Raw genomic sequence first — 19,086 nt, 5'->3', positions numbered from 1 at the left:
GCACTTTGGGAGGCCGAGGCGGGTGTATCATGAAGTCAGGAGTTCAAGACCAGCCCGGCCAAGACGGTGAAACCCCATCTCTACTAAAAATACAAAAATTAGCCGGGTGTGGTGGTGGGCACCTGTAATCCCAGTTACTCAGGAGGCTGAAGCAGAGAGCTGCTTGAACCCGGGAGGCGGAGTTGCAGTCAGCCTGGGTGACAGAGCAAGACTCCGCCTCAAAAAAAAAAAAAATATATATATATATATATAATATATATATTAAGCATTTACTATGTGCCAGGCACCATATTAAGTGCTTTAGATATGTTCTTTCACTTCATCCTTACAATAACCTTATGAGCTATTATTCCTATTTACAAATGAGGTACAGAGAGGTTAAGTAACTTGCCAAGGGTTACATAGTAAGTAAGAGATGGAGCTGGCATTCCAAATGAGCAGTCATACTCCAAGCCTGGCTCTTAAATTATTGGAGAGGCAGCAGAAAATAACAGAAAAACATTAGGATTGGGGTTGGTAGGTCTGAGTCAGTCAGTTCTGGAGAAAGGGGGCAGCTTGCTGAAATCAAAGGGGAGTTGTAAAGGCCAAATCCGAGTGCATGTGAAAGGCTCTGCTCAGGGGGTGTCGCATTAGTAGGTGATGATGCCTGCTTTGTGAACTGCCTGCTGCACAGTTTCCTGGGTATGCACTTTTTTTCCCTTTAATACAATAAATGAAATTCATAGACTAACCACATGAGGCGGTTTCAAAGCACGAATAAATTCACTGGTTTGCTGGTAATCCGTGTGAGCTGAGAAAGAAATGTAATCAACAGACATTTTCAGTGGTAACTTCTGTCCAGACATAGTAGTGATTTCTTCAGGTTCAGACATGATGTGCTGTGGAAAATAAAGAAAAATAACAAAACAAACTACCCAGTTATAATCGTAAAGGTACATTTTCATTTTTTTCATGCAGTCATAAATTCATGTTAAATTTAGGACCTTACGCACAAAATCATTCTAATATAACTGACTCAGTAAATATCAAATACTCATGTTCTCAATCAAGCAAACATTTAATGAGAAAAGTAAACAAATTAACTAAAACTCATCTATCTGGAGTGCTGGCAGTGAGAATCATAACTCTTATGCTTAGAAAGACAAACCTGTATTCCCAACTATTCTTGTGCTCTCCAAAGTCATTTCCTAGATATGTGGATATATTTCTATTCTGAAAATCTTTGTTTTTTCAAATAGGGTCTCACTTTGTCACCCAGGCTGAAATGCAGTGTGCGATCTCAGCTCACTGCAGCCTCGACCTCCTGGGTTCAAGCAAGCCTCCTGCCTCAGTCCCCCAACTAGCTAGGACTACAGGCACGTGCCACCACACCTGGCTAATTTTTGTATTTTTTGTAGAGATGGGATTTCTCCATGTTGCCCAAGCTGGTCCCCAACTCCTGAGCTCAAGTGATCCACCTGCTGTGGCCTCCTGAAGTGCTAGGATTACAGATGTGAGGCACTGTGCCAGGCCTGGAAATTTTTTTTTTCTTTTTTTTTTGGAGATGGAGTCTTGCTCCGTCACCCAGATTGGAGTGCAGTGGCGCCAATCTCGGCTGACTGCAACCTCCGCCTCCAGTTTCAAGCAATTCTCCCTGCCTCAGCCTCCCGAGTAGCTGGGATTACAGGCATACGCCACCACGCCCAGCTAATTTTTTGTATTTTTAGTAGAGACGGGGTTTCGCCATGTTGGCCAGGCTGGTCTCGAACTCCTGACCTCAGGTGATCCGCCCGCCTTGGCCTCCCAAAGTACTGGGATTACAGGTGTGAGCCACTGCACCCAGCCTGGAAATCTATTTTAAATACAACATTGTCACTAAAGAACTTTATAGAATAAGGTAAAGTAATAAAGATTATCAAAGAATCATATCATATTTTTAAAAATAAAATAGAGGATGAGAATGTGATGCCTGGATGCTCAGAAACTGCCTCCCAAGTTCTGCATATATTTTCTACAATTTCTACATCCCTAAGAGCTGAAAATCAATGTTTCATAATAGTAGAAAGTGGTCAACCCAAACACATTCTACAGCTTTTTAAGATCATATGTATTAGTCAACCTCTTCTTCATGAGAGGACGGAGAGTATTCACGTGTTTGTCTCAAACAGGTTCCTGTCCATTCTTCTCTACTTGCAACCAGATGAGCATTTCTCAAACTTTAATGTGTATATCAATCACCTGGGACCTCATTATGCCATTCAGTGTCTGCATAATTCTACATCCTACGCACATCTCTAGCTACCTATTCCCGTCCTCATTTTTAAAAATCAAAACTTGTATTATTTGAAGAACTACTTCAGTGCAAAAACCTGTGAGGACCGTGCCACCTCCGTGATTCTGAATAGGAATAACACAACAGCCTATGACTGTAACTGACCTTGGCAAGTGTCCCTTCTACACAGTATCCCGCTATAATGACACCATTCCTCTTATCAGTACACCAGCTTTCAAATAATTCTCTGGATAAGCCACTTTGCATCATGCCTGGGGAGGCCATTACAACACTGGGACCAATGTCATCAAAATGATCCATGCTCTAAGAGAGAAAACAGAATGGGAAAAGTATGTTAGCTACCAGCAGCTGACAAAGCATTCTTTCTTTTTAAAGAATAACAAAAGGCTAAGAGATTAATCACATCACTGAAAGAGCCTTCACAAGATCTGTAAACATTTTAAGTTCAGTTGCCAAATTCCTAAACAGTTTAGGCTAGGAATGGTAGAAAAACCAAGTAATAAAAAGCGGTAAGTTCACCCCGATCTTCAAAACCTTCTGTTGGTAGCTAGAGGGCCATCAGAACCATCAGGACCATCTTCAGCGCCTAGCAGGCAGGCAGAAAAGTAAAAGGAAGAGTCAAATGGGTCTTGATCTACCCAAGACACAACTCTGAAAAAATATTCCCAAAGACTCACAATAGCTTTGCATGCTCCATGCATGTTTTGAGCTGGCCTGGAAATCAAAAGGTTTAACATTGTTCTAGGGAGAACTTGTCTACAATCCTTAAGCAGTTAACTTAAAATAAATACTTTATGAACAAAGCCTATTTACAACTGGAAGTCCACTTTTAAATTATTTCGGATATCAATTATTTTATTATGATTCAAGCATCGAGTTAAACAGTATTTTTTAAATTAAATAAAATCAGATTTTATTGAATGCTTCCAGAAAAGTATATAAAAATTTTCATATATAGAATTTGCAGCACTAATCAAAAAGATGATTTGGTTTGAGTGAGAAGAGAAACTTAAATACATAATACAAAATATTTTTCTCCTCAGAACTTTTTATGCCTACGGCAAAAGAGATGAGTATTATAAATACTGAGAACACATGGCTACTTGGGGCAAGTGGCAAAATCTGTTGAAGCAGAAAAAGAATGTCAGCTGCTGAAGTTTTGATTTTCTGCAGAAAAACGACACCTGTTGAGAAGCGGTAAGACTCCAGCAAGAGGAATTCAGCCAGAGTCACTGACAAGCACTGCCTACGATTTTTATTTTATTTTGATAGAGACAGGGTCTCACTATCTTGCCCAGGCCGGTCTCAAACTCCTGAGTTCTAGTGATCCTCCTGCCTTAGACTCCCAAAGTGCTAAATTACAGCTGTGAGCCATCACTCACGGCCTCGTACCTCCTACTACTAATGACTGATTTGGTTTTATCCATCCTTGTCTTTCTTCCACAAGCACTCACCTTGAGGTTACTAATGTGTTTGAAAACAAAGGGATTATTGATGTTGATCTGTTTGCGGATTTTGTCATTCATGGCATTTACATATGTCTGGTACACTGCCATACACTTCTTGGCCAAAGATGATGCATAGTATATTGGAATGTCATGTAGTTCTGGGTGATTCTGCCAGTACTCATCTAGAGAGATTTTGCAAGAAACAAACATCACTTTGTTAGATGGGGTAAACAGTTCAAATAACAAATGATACACACAGAACAAGAAATGATACACATACAACCAAGAAATAAAGCACACAACTATATTTTAAAGAGTTTAAGCAAAATTATCCTGGTTGTAACTAACTTAAATTTACAAAACCAAAACTTATTTCTAAATAGTGCATGACCTAAAAAGAATGCTATGATCATAGTCCAAAGATGTGGAGGCTTTTAAACATGACTCAGTATAAGTTTACACTGAAGTCTATAACTTACTACCATAATAAGACACTAAATAATACATTTTTATTTAAATGTATTAGAAAAGTGTACTAGAAAAAATTCTGTGATGGTTTTAAAAATGTATTATTAATATTTCAAACAGATTTATTGAGTGCTAATTACAAAAGAGAATTGCCAAGAGTTAACCGATTTTGAACACTTAAAAAAAAAGTATAGTCATATTATGCTATTATTGTTTGTTTTTGTTTGTGTTTTACACCCAGGCTGTCGACTAGCCTTGAGGGTAGTGGTATGATCATGGCTCATGGCAGCCTCAACCTCTCAGGTTCAAGTGATCCTTCCACCTCAGCCTTCTGAGCTGTGACTACAGGAGTGTGCTACCATACTTGGCTAATTTTTTTTTTTTGAGACTGGGTCTCATTATGTTTCCCAGGCTGGTCTCAAACTCTGGACTTAAGTGATCCTCCTGCCCAGCTTCCCAAAGTGCTGGGATTACAGGCATGAGTCACCACACTCAGCCATGCTTGTATTTTTAAAAACCTACTAACCAGTTTCTGATAATTAAAGAAAGCAGTGGGTAATATACCGTCAAAAGACTTATGTTAAGGGAAAAGCCCTCATTAAATCCCAAAATTTTATCAGGGTAGTATGGCTGAAAGACACCCTTTATTCTAATAGGTGCCTCTGCAGTTTGAAAATGTATTATATGCCTATTATATAATTTACATCTGTAATTTCTTTTTTTTTTTTTTTTGAGATGGAGTCTCACTCTGTCGCCCAGGCTGCAGTGCAGTGGCGCGATCTCCGCTCACTGCAAGTTCCGCCTCCCGGGTTCATGCCATTCTCCTGCCTCAACCTCCAGAGTAGCTGGGACTACAGGCGCTGGCCACCATGCCTGGCTAATTTTTTGTATTTTTAGTACAGACGGGGTTTCACCAATTTACATCTATAATTTCTAATTTTCAAAACAACTTACGAAGACTTATCACCATTTTAACTAGCAAACTAAGGGTAAAAAAAAAGGCTGATTATTGTGTGAATGTTATTCTTCCATTTGATGTATCAATGATAATTTTATATGAGGACAAAGACTTTCTGTCACATGCATTACAAATTTCCTGCTTTGTCTTCTAGTTTATCCCATTCATGATTTATTACTCTTATGATTTCTTAGATACCCTAAAGCGGACTACATCCCACAATCATGCCACCATTTCTTGGTTTGTTGTGCGTGTTTTTATGAATAAACTCTGAATATTAAAAAAAGTTAAATAATTTGCCCAAGGTCATATGGCTCTAGCCATATGATAGATTTCATCTGAAACACAGATAAGATTTGAAAGCAGCTGTTCTTTCTATTATACTACATTACAAGGGAGAATTGAAGGAAAAAGGGCAACCAGTTGCAAAGAACAGACGGTAGAATTGCCAGATAAAAATATCAAATACTCAGTTAAATTTGAATTTTAGGTGAACAACAAAAGATTTTTAGTATAAGAATATATACTAACGAGACCAGCCTGGCCAATGTGGTGAAACCTCGTCTCTACTAAAAATACAAAAATTAGCTAGGATCCCAGCTACTCAGGAGGCTGAGGCAGGAGAATAGCTTGAACCCGGGAGGCAGACGTTGTGGTGAGCCGAGATCGCGCCAAGCCGAGATAGCGCCACCACACTCCAGCCTGGGTGACAGGGTGAGACTGTCTCAAAAAAAAAAAAAAAAAAAGAATATATATTAAATATTTGGTACACTTATACTAAAACATTATTCATTATTTATCTGAACCTAAAATTTAATGAGTTGTCCTCTAGTTTTATTTGCTAAATCTGGCAACCCAATTTGATGGTGGCAACATTGTTTCAACTTCCTAACTTCTCTGTTCTTCATCTTACAGGTTACGAAGACTTTGATTTCAAGACTTCTAAGGACGAATTTGACTTGCAGTTAGGAAGGAGGACCAATCAAGATCAAAAGACTGAATTAGATTCGGATTTGGGAAATTCAGCTTCTAGAAGTCCTATCTATTACAGATTTCCTTTTCATCTGGGGTCATTTCTTCCAACTTTCCTTCTGTTTTCCTTTTCAGTGTGACAGGGATACTATTTTTTCTCCTCCTCACCAAGATGGCAGAACAGAGAGGATGAGCTAAGATGCAAGTGTTTCTAGTGCTTCGCACAGAGGTGACACTCATGCAAAGCACCCATTTTATTATTTGCTTTTTTTTGAGACAGGGTCTCATTGTGTCGCCCACCCTGGAGTGCAGTGGCACAATCTTGGCTCACTGCAACCTCTACCTCCCAGGCTCAAGTGATACTCCTACCTCAGTCTCCCAGGTAGCTGGGACAACAGGCGTGTATCACCACGTCCAGCTAATTCTTTGTATTTTTTGTAGAGACAGGGTCTTGCCTTGTTGCCCAGGCTGATCTTAAATTCCTGGGCTCAAGTGATCTTCCGCCCTTAGCCTCTCAAGGTGCTGGAATTAGGGATTACAGTCGTGAGCCACTATGCCTGGCTGTAAAGTACCTTCTTTTATTCTTCAATAAGAGTGCTCTTCCCAACTAGAATCACCGAATGTGAGGTAGAAGGGATCATGAAGTACAAATGTATGCTAAAAAGTAACAACCATTGTTTCTCTTATTACAAAAAATTATACATGCTCACTGAAGTACTTGTAAAATGGAGAAAAGCAGAAAACAAAAAATATCATCCATATCCTCACTATCCAGATTTAGTAGCTTTTCAGTCATTTGTGTGTGCATTTTTTACCTAACTAGGATCAGAGTACATATAGTTTTTTTTTTGTTGTTGTTTGTTTGTTTGTTTTGAGACAGTCTCCCTCTGTCACCGAGGCTGGAGTGCAGTGGTGCAATCTCGGCTCACTGCAACCTCTGCCTCCCAGGCTCAAGCAATTCTCATGCCCCAGCCTCCAGAAAAGCTGGAACTACAGGTGTGTGCCACCACACCTGGCTCATTTTTCTATTTTTGGTAGAGACGAGGTTTCACCATGATGGCCAGGCTGGTCTTGAACTCCTGGCCTCAAGTGATCTGCCCACCTCAGCCTCCCTAAGTGCTAGGATTACAGGCGTGAGCCACCACGTCCAGCCCAGAGTAAATATAGTTTTGAACTCTACTTTTTTGGTTGACTTAATATATTATGTGCAAAGTATGTAATTACTCATCTGTAACACAATTTTTTCCTACAATGCTATATTTACTCACATATTTCTTTGAAAATACTAAAATGATGAATACCTTTCCTGACAAAATTTTCTGTACATCTCATTTATTTCCCAGAAGCGGAACTGCTGGCCAAAGGGTACACATATTTTAAGACTTCTGATGGCAACCGGAAGGGGTCGCCAGTTCACATTCCCAACAGCAGTGCATGAGAGTTGCTGTTTTCCTGGGCTATTCCTAGATCCAAATCCCTATTATTATTATTATTATTATTTTTTGAGATGGAGTCTCGCTCTGTCGCCCAGGCTGGAGTGCAGTGGCGCAATCTCGGCTCACTACAACCTCCACCTCCCAGGTTCAAGCAATTCTCTGCCTCAGCCTCCTGAGTAGCTGGGATTACAGGCATCTGTCACTGTGCCCGGCTAATTTTTGTATTTTTAGTAGAGATGGGGTTTCACCATCTTGGTCAGGCTGGTCTTGAACTCCTGATCTCGTGATCTCCCCACCTCAGCCTCCCAAAGTGCTGGGATTACAGGCGTGAGCCACCGCGCCCGGCCCCAAATCTCTATTTTTAAATGAAGAAAACTGAAGTCCAGAACGGTGGAATGACTCATCCAAGACCACATTATTATCTTGATAAAATGACAAGATTTTGATCATCGCCTAAATACAAAGGAAATGGCATACCTAGAATCAAGAGCAGCTCCTGAGCCCTTCCAAGAGCAAAGACAGGAATGAGACCCCTGCCTCCTCTGTTTACAATATCGTGGACAGTGTTACAGAATCTTGCTTCTCGCTCTTCACGTTTCTCATGGATATGGGTCCCATAAGTAGATTCCTAAATAATACATTAGAAGTGTGAGACTAAGACCAATGATCCTCCAAGAATTCAAAAGTTAAACATCAATGAAATACTGAGGGGCTAAGCAATTCACTTCTCCATTAGCATGTCATTTACTCGAACATGTGTTGTCATAATAGTAATTGGGAAGAGCAAGCAAGAATGCTAGAATTCAGGCCCAGCGTGGTGGCTCACACCTGTAATCCCAGCACTTTGGGAAGCCAAGGTGGGTGGATCACCTGAGGTCAGCAGTTTGAGACCAGCCTGGCCAACATGGTGAAACCCTGTCTCTACTAAAAATACAAAAATAAGCTGGGCGTGGTGGTGGGCGCCTGTAATCCCAGCTACTCCGGAGGCTGAGGCAGGAGAGCTGTTTGAACCCAGGAGGAGGAGGTTGCAGTGAGCCGAGATCGCACCATTGCACTCCAGCCTGGGCGACAGAGCAAGACTCCATCTCAAAAAAATAAAATTTAACAACAACAACAAAAAGAGGCCGGGCATGGTGGCTCATGCCTGTAATCCCAGCATTTTGGAAGGCCGAGGCGGGTGGATCACCTGAGGTCAGGAGTCCAGTCTGACCAACAGGATGAAACCCCGTCTCTACTAAAAATACAAAAATTAGCTGGGCATGGTGGCGCATGCCTTATAATCCCAGCTAGTCAGGAGGCTGAGGCAGGAGAATCACTTGAACCTGGGAGGCAGTGGTTGCAGTGAGCCGAGATCATGCCATTGCAGTCGCTCACTCCAGAGTGAGACTCCATCTCAAAAAAAAAAAAAAAGAATGCTAGAATTCAAATCTAAGAACTTTTTATAAAATGAAATAGTCCAAAACTGTATCTTCTTCCCATGTCCTTTTTTAACCATTTTGCTTTCCATTAGGAAGAAAAAGGTTATTTCTCCCACCTCTGATAAGTCAAAGCTTTTAAAATAGAAACAGATGTTGTTTCTTATACTTCTGTTTAAGAATATCCTTAAAGTCTTACTAGGTATGGTCCACTGACCAGAAGATTGACATCCCTTGGGAGCTTATCAGAAGCGCAAAATCTCAGACCCCAGCCCAGATGTACTGAATCAGAATTTGTATCTTAGCAATATCATCAGATGATTATAAGCATATTAAAATTTGAAGCACTGCTCTAAAGTATGGTACTATGAAAATAGCTACTTTTTCTGAGGGTTCAAAAAATAAATCTTCCCTTAAATTAAGTTTATATGCTGGGCATACCATGAGCAGAGTCCAATCTAATCTGCTCACATGTTGCTTATGGACAGCAGTATGTACTGGCCCACATGCCTGGGCAGCTGGGGAACATGGTAGGTGGTGGAGGAGAAACAGACAACTCTTCCTCCTTGAACCACATACACCTGATGTTCTTATATACACCAAAAGCTTGCAAGATTTCTCTCCCAACCCCTGACTCTACAGTCAGCAACACACATCCCAAGCTGCCCCCAAAGAGCTTCTGTACACAGTTCATTTTTTTTGCTCCCCTGGGACTTGCAACCTAGTAGGCAGACATGACACACAAAGATAAACAAAACGATAAGTTAGCATGGACTAAGGGCCTGAGGATAGTCACCATGGCAAAGGCAGTGAGGTCACACCATTTTAAAATGACCCGTAAGATGTTCTTCTACATATTCTCATCTAGAAATATATATTTAGAAGACAGAGAGAGGGCATAGCCAGTAAAAATGATCCTGCCCAGAGACAGCCTGCTGATCCTGCCCAGAGGCAGCCTGGCATCTCTGATATTAGACTAGAGTTAATGCATTTAACAGCAAGAAAGTGAAACTGCACTACAAAAAGAAGCACCTGCCCCAATTTTTTTTTTTTTTGAGACTGAGTCTTGCTTTGTAGCCCAGGCTCGAGTGCAGCAGCGTGATCTTGGCTCACTGCAACCTCCACCTTCTGGGTTCAAGTGATTCTTGTGCCTCAGCCTCCCAGGTAACTGCACCACCACACCCAGCTAATTTTTGTATTTTTTTAGTAGAGATGGGTTTTCACTGTGTTGGCCAAGGTGGTCTCTAACTCCTGGCCTTAAGTGATCTGCCCACCTCAGCCTCCCAAAGCGCTAGGATTACAGGTGTGAGCCACCGTGCCCGGCCACCAGTTTTCTTATATTTTAAAAAAGGTAAGTTTATATCCAATAACATATTATGAAAGTGAGATCACAGTATTATTTTCCAAAAGAAAAAAAATCTGCTTACATTACATTGATTACAATATAGTATATTAATACTTACAATGATAAGAATATCAGGCTTAATATTAGGAATTTCAGCTGCCATTAAGTGCCTATCTTCTTGTCTTGAGAAATCACCAGTGTACAAAAGCTGTGAAAAAGATAAAACTAGAAAGTTAGGATTTGGGGAAGGCTTCATTTTGCTAGTGAATAGATTAAACTCATGAAATCCAAAAGTGCAGTTACAGTTTTTAAGTCTAAAACTGATGAAATTTACATGCAGTGCTTGTGTCCAATTCAAAATGTGTAGTTCAGTCAGTAAACGGTTCAGTGCTTCAATTATTTCCTCTAGTAAATGGGAATAATCTATTCCCAGTATCATCTCACAATGATAACCTATATAACATTAATCCACTTGAGAAGTGCTCTGAACTTCTTAGAGAAAAAGGGCATGCAGACAAGGAAAGGAGTGCACTGAGGTACATGGTCTAAAACCGGAGATAAAATCATAAGAGGGTCTGCATCAAATTCCAAGAGAATTCACATCTGCATTTGTGCTACTTATTTTTTGTGCCCTGGAGCAAACTGCAAGAATAAGTGATTTAGTGATATACTTTACAATTCAATGTCTAAAAGTTCCAAATGTATAAGCAGCTGTGAAAAATTTAGGACGTGACACTAGAGCATTGGTTCTCTGGCTGACGTTAGAATCACCTAGCAAACTCGAAAAGGAAAAGGCCAAGCTGCGCCTCCAGATTTTGATTCAACAGTTATTTTCAGCAGCTCCCTAAGTGAGTCTTATTTGCAGCCTGAGTTCAGAGCGGCTGCTCTGGAGTCTGGAAAGCCAGCGGCCCACCCACGTTGTCAGAAGTTCAAGGCTTCCCCAAAGATCTTTCCTAATTAACCCCTTTCACTCTTGCAGTCCACCCTGCTTAGGGGCTTACCTGTGAATTCTAAGACATCAGGGGGACATGAATATCAAATTGTGTTTTAATTTTAAACGAATGCAGCCACAAAGACACCTCTTCCCTAACCAGTTTTCTAAAGCAAACGGAATCCTATGGTGTCAGGGAATCACTTTTTGAGATGTTTATTTTACTCTTTTCTCAGTCTTTAAAAATTTTTTTTTCCTCAGTCTTGATAAAGAAAGTATTGTAATGGAGGTAGGAACTGCAATATTTAAAAGGAACAAGCGTTAACTGTATTTTTATCTTATGTTTCCGTGTTCTGACACTTTGCAAGTCTTAGGGAATTTTTTTTTTTAATAGTACTTGGTGGCACAAAGCTCTGTACTGATTTCTCTGGGGAGAAAAGCGCCACAGCCAGAGGGTACCTTCACGCCTGCGATCTCAATCATGAACATGGCGGCTCCTAGGACGTGACCTGCATGGTAACACCAAAACTTGATTCCCGCAACTTCCTTAACTTCATGAAAGTTGATAGTTTCAATTTTGTCCATGCTTTCTTCCAAATCTGTCTCGGTATACAGCATGTCGTCTGCTGATATGTTACTAAATTTTGAAAGATGCCAGCAAAAACAATTAAGAGTCAGATTTTTTAAAAAGCCTTTGAACACAAAGAAATTGTGGATAACATCTCCATGAAGATATTTCTTTAAAATATACTGTATGAATCATGTATTTAAAATTTCTCAGATATTTTGTGTATTTTTTTTTTACTCTATTGTGTGTATAGCTACAAAACTTGATTTTAAACAAACCACACAGGAAATTAAGACACTGAGCTCAAAGTACTCTCAATTTTCAATAATACATACAATAAATTAAGACAAAATACTCTTTAGGATAGTACTTCTCAAACTTTTTTCCCACCCCAACACTCCTGAAAGATATAACACACTCACATACATTGAACCATGGCAGATATTTCTCACATTAGGATGAGAAAAGATTTTTCTACAAAGTCTAGCACAACCTTTCTCCTGAAAATTATGTTAATGTACTTACAAAAAAGCAAGAGAGAACAGTGGTTAAGGACGCTGACTCTGGAGCCAGATTGTTTGGGTTCAAATCCTTGCTCTGTCTCTTACTGTGACGATTTTAGGCAAATAACCTAACCTCGCTGTGCCTCAGTTTCATCATCTATAAAATGGAATTTATAATAGAACCTACATCATGAGTTGGTGTGAAGATTAAATATATTTATCTCCCGGCTGGGTGCGGTGGCTCAACCCTGTAATCCCAGCACTCTGGGAGGCCAAGACAGACAGATCACCTGAGGTCAGGAGTTCAAGACCAGGCTGGCCAACATGGTAAAACCCCGTCTCTACTAAAAATACAAAAATTAGCCAGGCGTGGTGGTATGCACTGTGTGCCTGTAATCCTAGCTACTGGGGAGGCTGAGACATGAGAATTGCCTGAACCCGGGAGCAGAGGTTGCAGTGAGCTAAGATAGCGCCACTGCACTCCAGCCTGGTCAACAGCACAAGACTCCGTCTCAAAAAAAAAAGAAAAAAAAAAAGAAAAAAAAAATATGTATATTTATTTATCTTTGTGTGAAGTTAATATACATTAGGAATTTAGGATTGGGCCTAGTATGTGGTAAGCATTATTGAAGTGTTAACGAGTGTTACCACAATTAAGCATAACTCTTCCAATCCAGCCTAATGAAGTTTTAAAAGGACACAAAAAGCTATATAAAGACTTCAAGGCCAGGCCAGTGGCTCATGCCTGTAATCCCAGCACTCTGGGAGGCCAAGGCAGGAGGATCACTGGAGCCCAGGAGTTTGAGACTAGCCTGGGCAACATAAGACCCTATCTCTTCAAAAAACAAAAAACTCTGCTGGGTGTGGTGGCACACACCTGTAGTCTCAGCTGCTCAGGAGGCTGAGGTGGAAGGACTGCTTGAGCCCAGGTGGCTGAGGCTGCAGTGAGCTGTGATCACACCACTGCACTCCAGCCTGGATGACAGAGCAAGATCCTGTCTCAAAAAAACCTTCAAGGTCAGGAAGGTGCTAGAAACACAATAGGTTTCAATGACCTTGTTAATGAATGATGAAATTACTGATATCCTTATACATGAAAAGGGAGCACCTCATTTTAAAACACAAAATGGTCCATATCTTGAACCATACATGCCATATAGAGCCAAAGTCGTGTATAATCTAATAAAGTAATTTACCTAACTTTGACATAATCAGAAAGAAGCCATCTATAAATAGCTTTTGTGGCATGAGTCATAAATGTTCTTCCTTTGAAACTTGTCTTCTGTAGAAACCAGGGCAGAGCTCCACAGTGATCCAAATGGAAACTTAAAAAGAAAGAGGCTGCATTAATTCTTAAAATTATTATCCATCAGATACCATGTAATGAAACTGTTGCTTACTGTACAAAACAAGTTTTATATAAACAACTATGTGCTGATACTTTCAGAAAAACCAAGAGTAGGTATGTGTAGAAGGAAGAAGTAATGCATACAGTTCTAAAATGGAGGAAAGATGTTTAAAGTATTGTTTTTAAACAGCAAAAAACTTTATTAGTGAATTAGGGAGGAAGAAGAATATCCCAAGCCTACTCCTGGCAGCCAGAATTACAGCAAACATTTTAACAGAATAAAGTTGAAACATGGATATCTCCCTGAGGTCACTGTCTTGTCACATTTTTCTATATGAACTCTATTTAAAAATAGTTTCAATAAAGGTGAAATGGCGTTCTTATAGAAGAATGTGATAAAACAGTGACCTCAAGGAGATATCCTGGAAAAGGGCTTTCTTAGTCTCAAGTTTTACAATGATTCAAGTTCTGTACTATCTCCTTCTCACATACTCACTGAACTTATACATAGAGGTAGGTAAGTTTTTCATAGCAAACTTCTCTAGCCTGTGATGACATTACGGAGTGTTGGTTTAGACTCAGATGTCTGCAATATGCTTCCTAGCAGAAAACACTCTTTTAAAAAACCAAACTCTCAAAATCTAGTAAAGAATGATCTTGATAGTAAAAGTCCGTGAAAAAGTGTCATTAATAAAGGGAAAAACTTACTGACTAATTAATAGGAGATCAATCTCAGCTGGGTCAATTAAATCAATATAAGGAAGAGCATCCATTCCTTCTAGGCCAGGGTGGATCCCACAGTCGAGCTGAAAGAAACAGGAAAAGAGATCACAATCTCCTGCACATTTTATTAAAATTCATTCGGCAAATAGGCAATAATTCTAGTTCCATCACCCATATACTCAAGATGGACTCCAGGCACTAGCACTTGGAACATGATTCTTATTAAATGTGGCAAATATGCCATTAACAATTCTAACTTCCCAACAAATTTAAAATATAGCTCACATTTAGGGGTCACAGGATGCAAAGTACAAAACAGCTTCTTTCCAGCTACTTTTGGTCGTCATTCTAACAACGAATTAAATCTTTTTCAAAAACTTTGATATCAGATTAAAATTTTAAAAGTTTATAGATTTACTACTACCAGATCGACTCTCGTGAGAAGATAATAATTAGAAATGGGAAACTTACCTGATCAGGGTAATTTAAATATTTTAAGGCATTAGGGAACAAATTCTTAAGACTCAGTCATTAAAGTTACTTATTTTTATGGCGTTACTACCAAATTAACAAAACAGATGACTAAAAGGATGACTATGTCTGACCTATACATGTTCTTTTCAGATTGGGAGGAGTTGAGAAGAAAGAGGAATCAAAGGAATCTGAGACACAGAACTGACTTTCTAATGAGTACCTTAGAAACTATCTCCTCTAACCCCTCTACCTTTCAGGCTTAGAGAAGCAAAGTGACTTGGCCAAGGCCGGCAGCCCCAGTGGGACCTGGGGATCCAAGCTTCTAGGCCAAGGCTTGATCCCCACATGCTGGAGGCGGCTAGAGCTCTCAGTGTGTTCAGAGTGCTTGGGCCCTTGGGATCTTCCACTGGGGGTGGGGCAGTTAGGCTGGCTCAACCCTTCAGGAGTGGAAGAGGGACTTTGAAGAGGTAACAGTTCAACAGATCTAGCTGACAATTTTACAGTCATAGAATATATCTTCTTAATCAACTAAATTACTAAGTAGAAGTGTGTATTAGTTTTTCTCATTAACACTATACAGCATAGATTACATGTACTATAACATTTTTCTGGGAGCTAAAAAGATAACTAGTCTATGAGAAAAGACTAACACCCAATACAGACAGAGCCATACTATTAAACTGAGTACAAAAATAGTAATTACCATTATTTTTCTTCCTTTGAACTCGAGAATAATACATGATCTTCCTACTTCTTGCCCAGCTCCACTGTAAATATTCAAGGGGAGAAAAAGAAGGATTAAAAAAAATCAAAACCAAGTCCAATAAACTTACACTTTTTTACAATGTACACTACATGCCATCTGATGACAGCACCTCACTGAAAAATTCTGAGACGTAAGAGAGTTCTACAAAATCACAAAGACAGGGAAGAACAGTGTCCACATGAGAACAGATGAAAACTGATCCTTGGGAGTCCAGGGATCTTGCAGTTCTTAAAATTAAGAGAGAAGGCGGTACAGATCCAAGAAGCCCAAAGGTTTGGGCTTGATTTAAATTCAATTTTCTGAATTTTAGGATTAAATTATAATGTATTTAAAATGTAAACTAGCAGTTACGCAGATTATATAATAATACTTCTAGAATTAGCACTTAAGTAGAAAGCCATAAGCATTTCAACACTGTCATCTTCTTTAAGATCATAATGTGTATTTGCCAAATGGCTTAAATTTAAATGGCCGGGTGCGGTGGCTCACGCCTGTAATCCCAGCACTTTGGGAGGCCGAGGCAGGCAGATCACGAGATCAGGATATCGAGACCCATCCTGGCTAACACGGTGAAACCCCGTCTCTACTAAAAATACAAAAAATTAGCCAGGCGTGGTGGCGGACACCTGTAGTCCCAGCTACTCGGGAGGCTGAGGCAGGAGAATGGTGTGAACCCAGGAGGCGGAGCTTGCAGTGAGCTGAGATCGCGCCACTGCGCTCCAGCCTGGGCAACAGAGCGAGACTCTGCCTCAAAAAAAAAAAAAAAAAATTTTTTTTTTTAAAATACTTATTCATACTGTGAATTTCAATCACTTTTTCTTCTACTTTCTGTTATTTCAGCATATTTTATACCAACTACTTACATAATTTTTGTTTCTTCTTAATAATTTCAGCCATAATTTGCAATGGTCACAAGGCACACTTTAAGTTAAACCTCATCTTTCAAATCCCTCACCTTCTTTGATGCCTTTTCCCAACCATTCTAGCTCACAATCCACTCACTCACTCAACATTAAGCAGCTTCTATTTGCCAAGCACTGGATTAAGTGCCTAGGACATGGAAATGCCTTACAGGGACCCTGACCTCAAGGAACTCAGTCAGATGGACATGCAATGGATCTATCCCCAAACTGAGATCCTACCTCCAAACAGGTGTTGATACAGAAGATCAAACAACTGTGGATGAGAGCCGCCATAAATTCCTGGCCTTCCACTTTTTAAACATTTTTTATTTGTAATTATTGTGGATACCCTGGCCTTCCACTTTAACTGGCCCTCAATGTTGCCTGGCTGTTTTCTCCATTTCATTTCCATATCAACTATTTTCAAACTTTCTTCCCTTTCCCAAATTTTCCAACCTTCTATCCTCTTCTTCACTTGAGGCATGGGCCATCTTCTGCATCAAAAAAATAAACAGTCCATTTGTAAATTTCCTCAACTTCATGTTGGTACAATAATTAAGAATACATGTACCAACAGGGTACCAACCTGCCCACATCTGTCTCCTTCTATTTCTCCTCTATAGATAGAATAGACCTCTCTTTCCACAATGAAACTTTCCACCATTCTACTCTACGTACTCCCTCCCTCCTTCTGAGGAACTCAACACTGCTGTGTCATTGACATTTTCCTCACTGTCTGCTCTTTACCATCCAATCCAAATTTAAACATACTACAGCCATGTTCATCCCCAAATTAAAATCCCTTGACTCTAAGCTCCTTTAGTTCCCACTTTATTCTTTCCCCAGACCACCTCCCAGGGCAGTGGACCCTCTTGTACTTCCTCACCTTCTACTCGCTCCTCAATTCGCTATACTCTGGCTTTTACCAATCACTTTTCTGAAACTGTCCTTGCTGCTCAGTAGTCATTTCAGTCTTTTTTTTTTTTTTGAGACAAGGTCCCCCTATGTTGCCCAGTCTGGCCTTCAACTCCTGGGCTCAAGTGATCCTCCCGCCTCAGCCTCCCAAGTAGCTGGAACTATAGGTGTCAGTCCCTATCTTGTTCTCTTGGCAGCCGTTGTCACTCCTAAGGAGTACCTGCTCCTTCCTCAAGCACCTCTCCCTTGGCTTCTCTGACCTGATGCTCTCATCTTGTCTTGCTGGCTTTCCTGTTTCCTTCACATATTCAGCCACCTCTGCCTACCCTTTAAATGTTGATATTCCGAGGGTTTGCTCCTTGGCCAACTTCTCAATCTTCATTCTCATCTTTCTGACATGCTAAGGACTTCCAAGCCTGTATTTGTAACCCAGATTGTTCTTCTGAATTCTAGACCTTTAATACATACACGTGACACTAGGTATCTCTACTAGGATCTCTCCCGGGACTTCATATTCAAGATGCCAAACTAGTTTCCACCACATGCCCCGTACTTGCTCTACTTTCTTCCTGAAATGCTTTGTCTTCAGATATTGATGTGGTTGGCTCCTTTGTATCATTTGGGTCTCAGTTCCAACGTCACCTTCTCAGATGCTTTCCCTTGACTACCTCCTCTAATTTGCCCTTCACAGCAAGCCACAACCCAGCATCAGTTATCTTAATACAACTACATGAAGTTATTGTACCTACTTATGTCTTCTTTCAGGCTACTAAATGAAAGCTTCCTAAGAACAGAGGCATTGTCCATCTTATTCACTGCTGTATTGCTACAGTACCTGGCATGTAGCACATCACAAAAAATACTTATTGAATGAACAAAACTCCTCAATTTTGAACCTTGGAAAGATTATGCTAAATGAAAGATGCCAGAGACAAAAGAGTATGTATTGTATGATCACACTTACATGAAATGTCCAGAACAGGCAAATCTATAAAGAAGTAGATTAGTGGTTGCTTAGGGCTGGAGAGGTAGTGGGGATTGTCTATGACTGCTAATGAATACAAGGTATCTCTTGGGAGTGATGAAAATGTGCTGGAATTAGAGAGAGGTGATGGTTGTATAACTCTATGTTAAGAACGACTGAATTATACTCTTTAAATGAGTTGTATGGTATGTAAATTGTGAGTTGTATGGTATGTAAACTGTATCTCAATAAAGCTGTTACGAAACAACCAAATTCCCAAATTTACTCCAGAGTTGCCCCATCTCTTATACTCCTTGAGTGAATAACACTACCCTTTCCCAACTGCCAAACTTAGGAATCTGATCATAACATCCTCTCTGCCCTGCCTTCCCTCCCCACAACCACCCTTCCAGATACAGCTGATCAGCCACAAAATCCTGAAGATCTCATTTGCATACTCTCTCACACTCACATCACTCACTACAGGCTCTCGTCAGCTAGACTTAGAATCTTTCAATATCTCACTGAATCTGCTCTACTCAATCCATGCTTTTATTCATCCATGCTTTTATTCATCTGCTACACTGCTGCCAGGAGAGATTTTCCTAAAACATAATTCCCACAATATCCATGCTTGCTTAATAGCCTTCGCTGGCTCCCTGTAATTGACTTGATAAA

At 40.1% G+C, this 19,086-nt stretch overlaps 1 protein-coding gene across 6 annotated transcripts in view; it reads right to left on the bottom strand.

Moving 5' to 3' along the window:
- CPSF3 (cleavage and polyadenylation specific factor 3) overlaps nucleotides 1-19,086 on the bottom strand; it is a 49,448-nt gene that overhangs the window by 28,709 nt on the left and 1,653 nt on the right. For 4 of the 6 annotated variants that reach the window (NM_001321834.2, NM_001321833.2, NM_016207.4 and 1 more), the window contains exons 2-10: nucleotides 15,565-15,628; nucleotides 14,373-14,470; nucleotides 13,513-13,641; nucleotides 11,705-11,882; nucleotides 10,433-10,522; nucleotides 8,032-8,182; nucleotides 3,727-3,902; nucleotides 2,417-2,575; nucleotides 732-878 (exon numbers count right to left, since the gene is read on the bottom strand). In NM_001321834.2, coding sequence (NP_001308763.1) covers nucleotides 732-878; nucleotides 2,417-2,575; nucleotides 3,727-3,902; nucleotides 8,032-8,182; nucleotides 10,433-10,522; nucleotides 11,705-11,882; nucleotides 13,513-13,641; nucleotides 14,373-14,470; nucleotides 15,565-15,567 — 1,131 coding nt within the window. In that variant the 5' untranslated portion in view covers nucleotides 15,568-15,628. Of the gene's footprint in view, nucleotides 1-731; nucleotides 879-2,416; nucleotides 2,576-3,726; nucleotides 3,903-8,031; nucleotides 8,183-10,432; nucleotides 10,523-11,704; nucleotides 11,883-13,512; nucleotides 13,642-14,372; nucleotides 14,471-15,564; nucleotides 15,629-17,770; nucleotides 17,861-19,086 lie in introns of all 6 variants that reach the window. The other 2 variants (NM_001321836.2, NM_001321835.2) reach the window with 2 other exon arrangements.

The sequence above is a fragment of the Homo sapiens genome, chromosome 2 (assembly GCF_000001405.40).
Source record: "Homo sapiens chromosome 2, GRCh38.p14 Primary Assembly".
In the NCBI taxonomy this organism is placed as follows: Eukaryota; Metazoa; Chordata; class Mammalia; order Primates; family Hominidae; genus Homo; species Homo sapiens.
The sequence above is the reverse complement of the archived record's forward strand: the minus strand, read 5'-3'. Positions and strand labels throughout refer to the sequence as shown.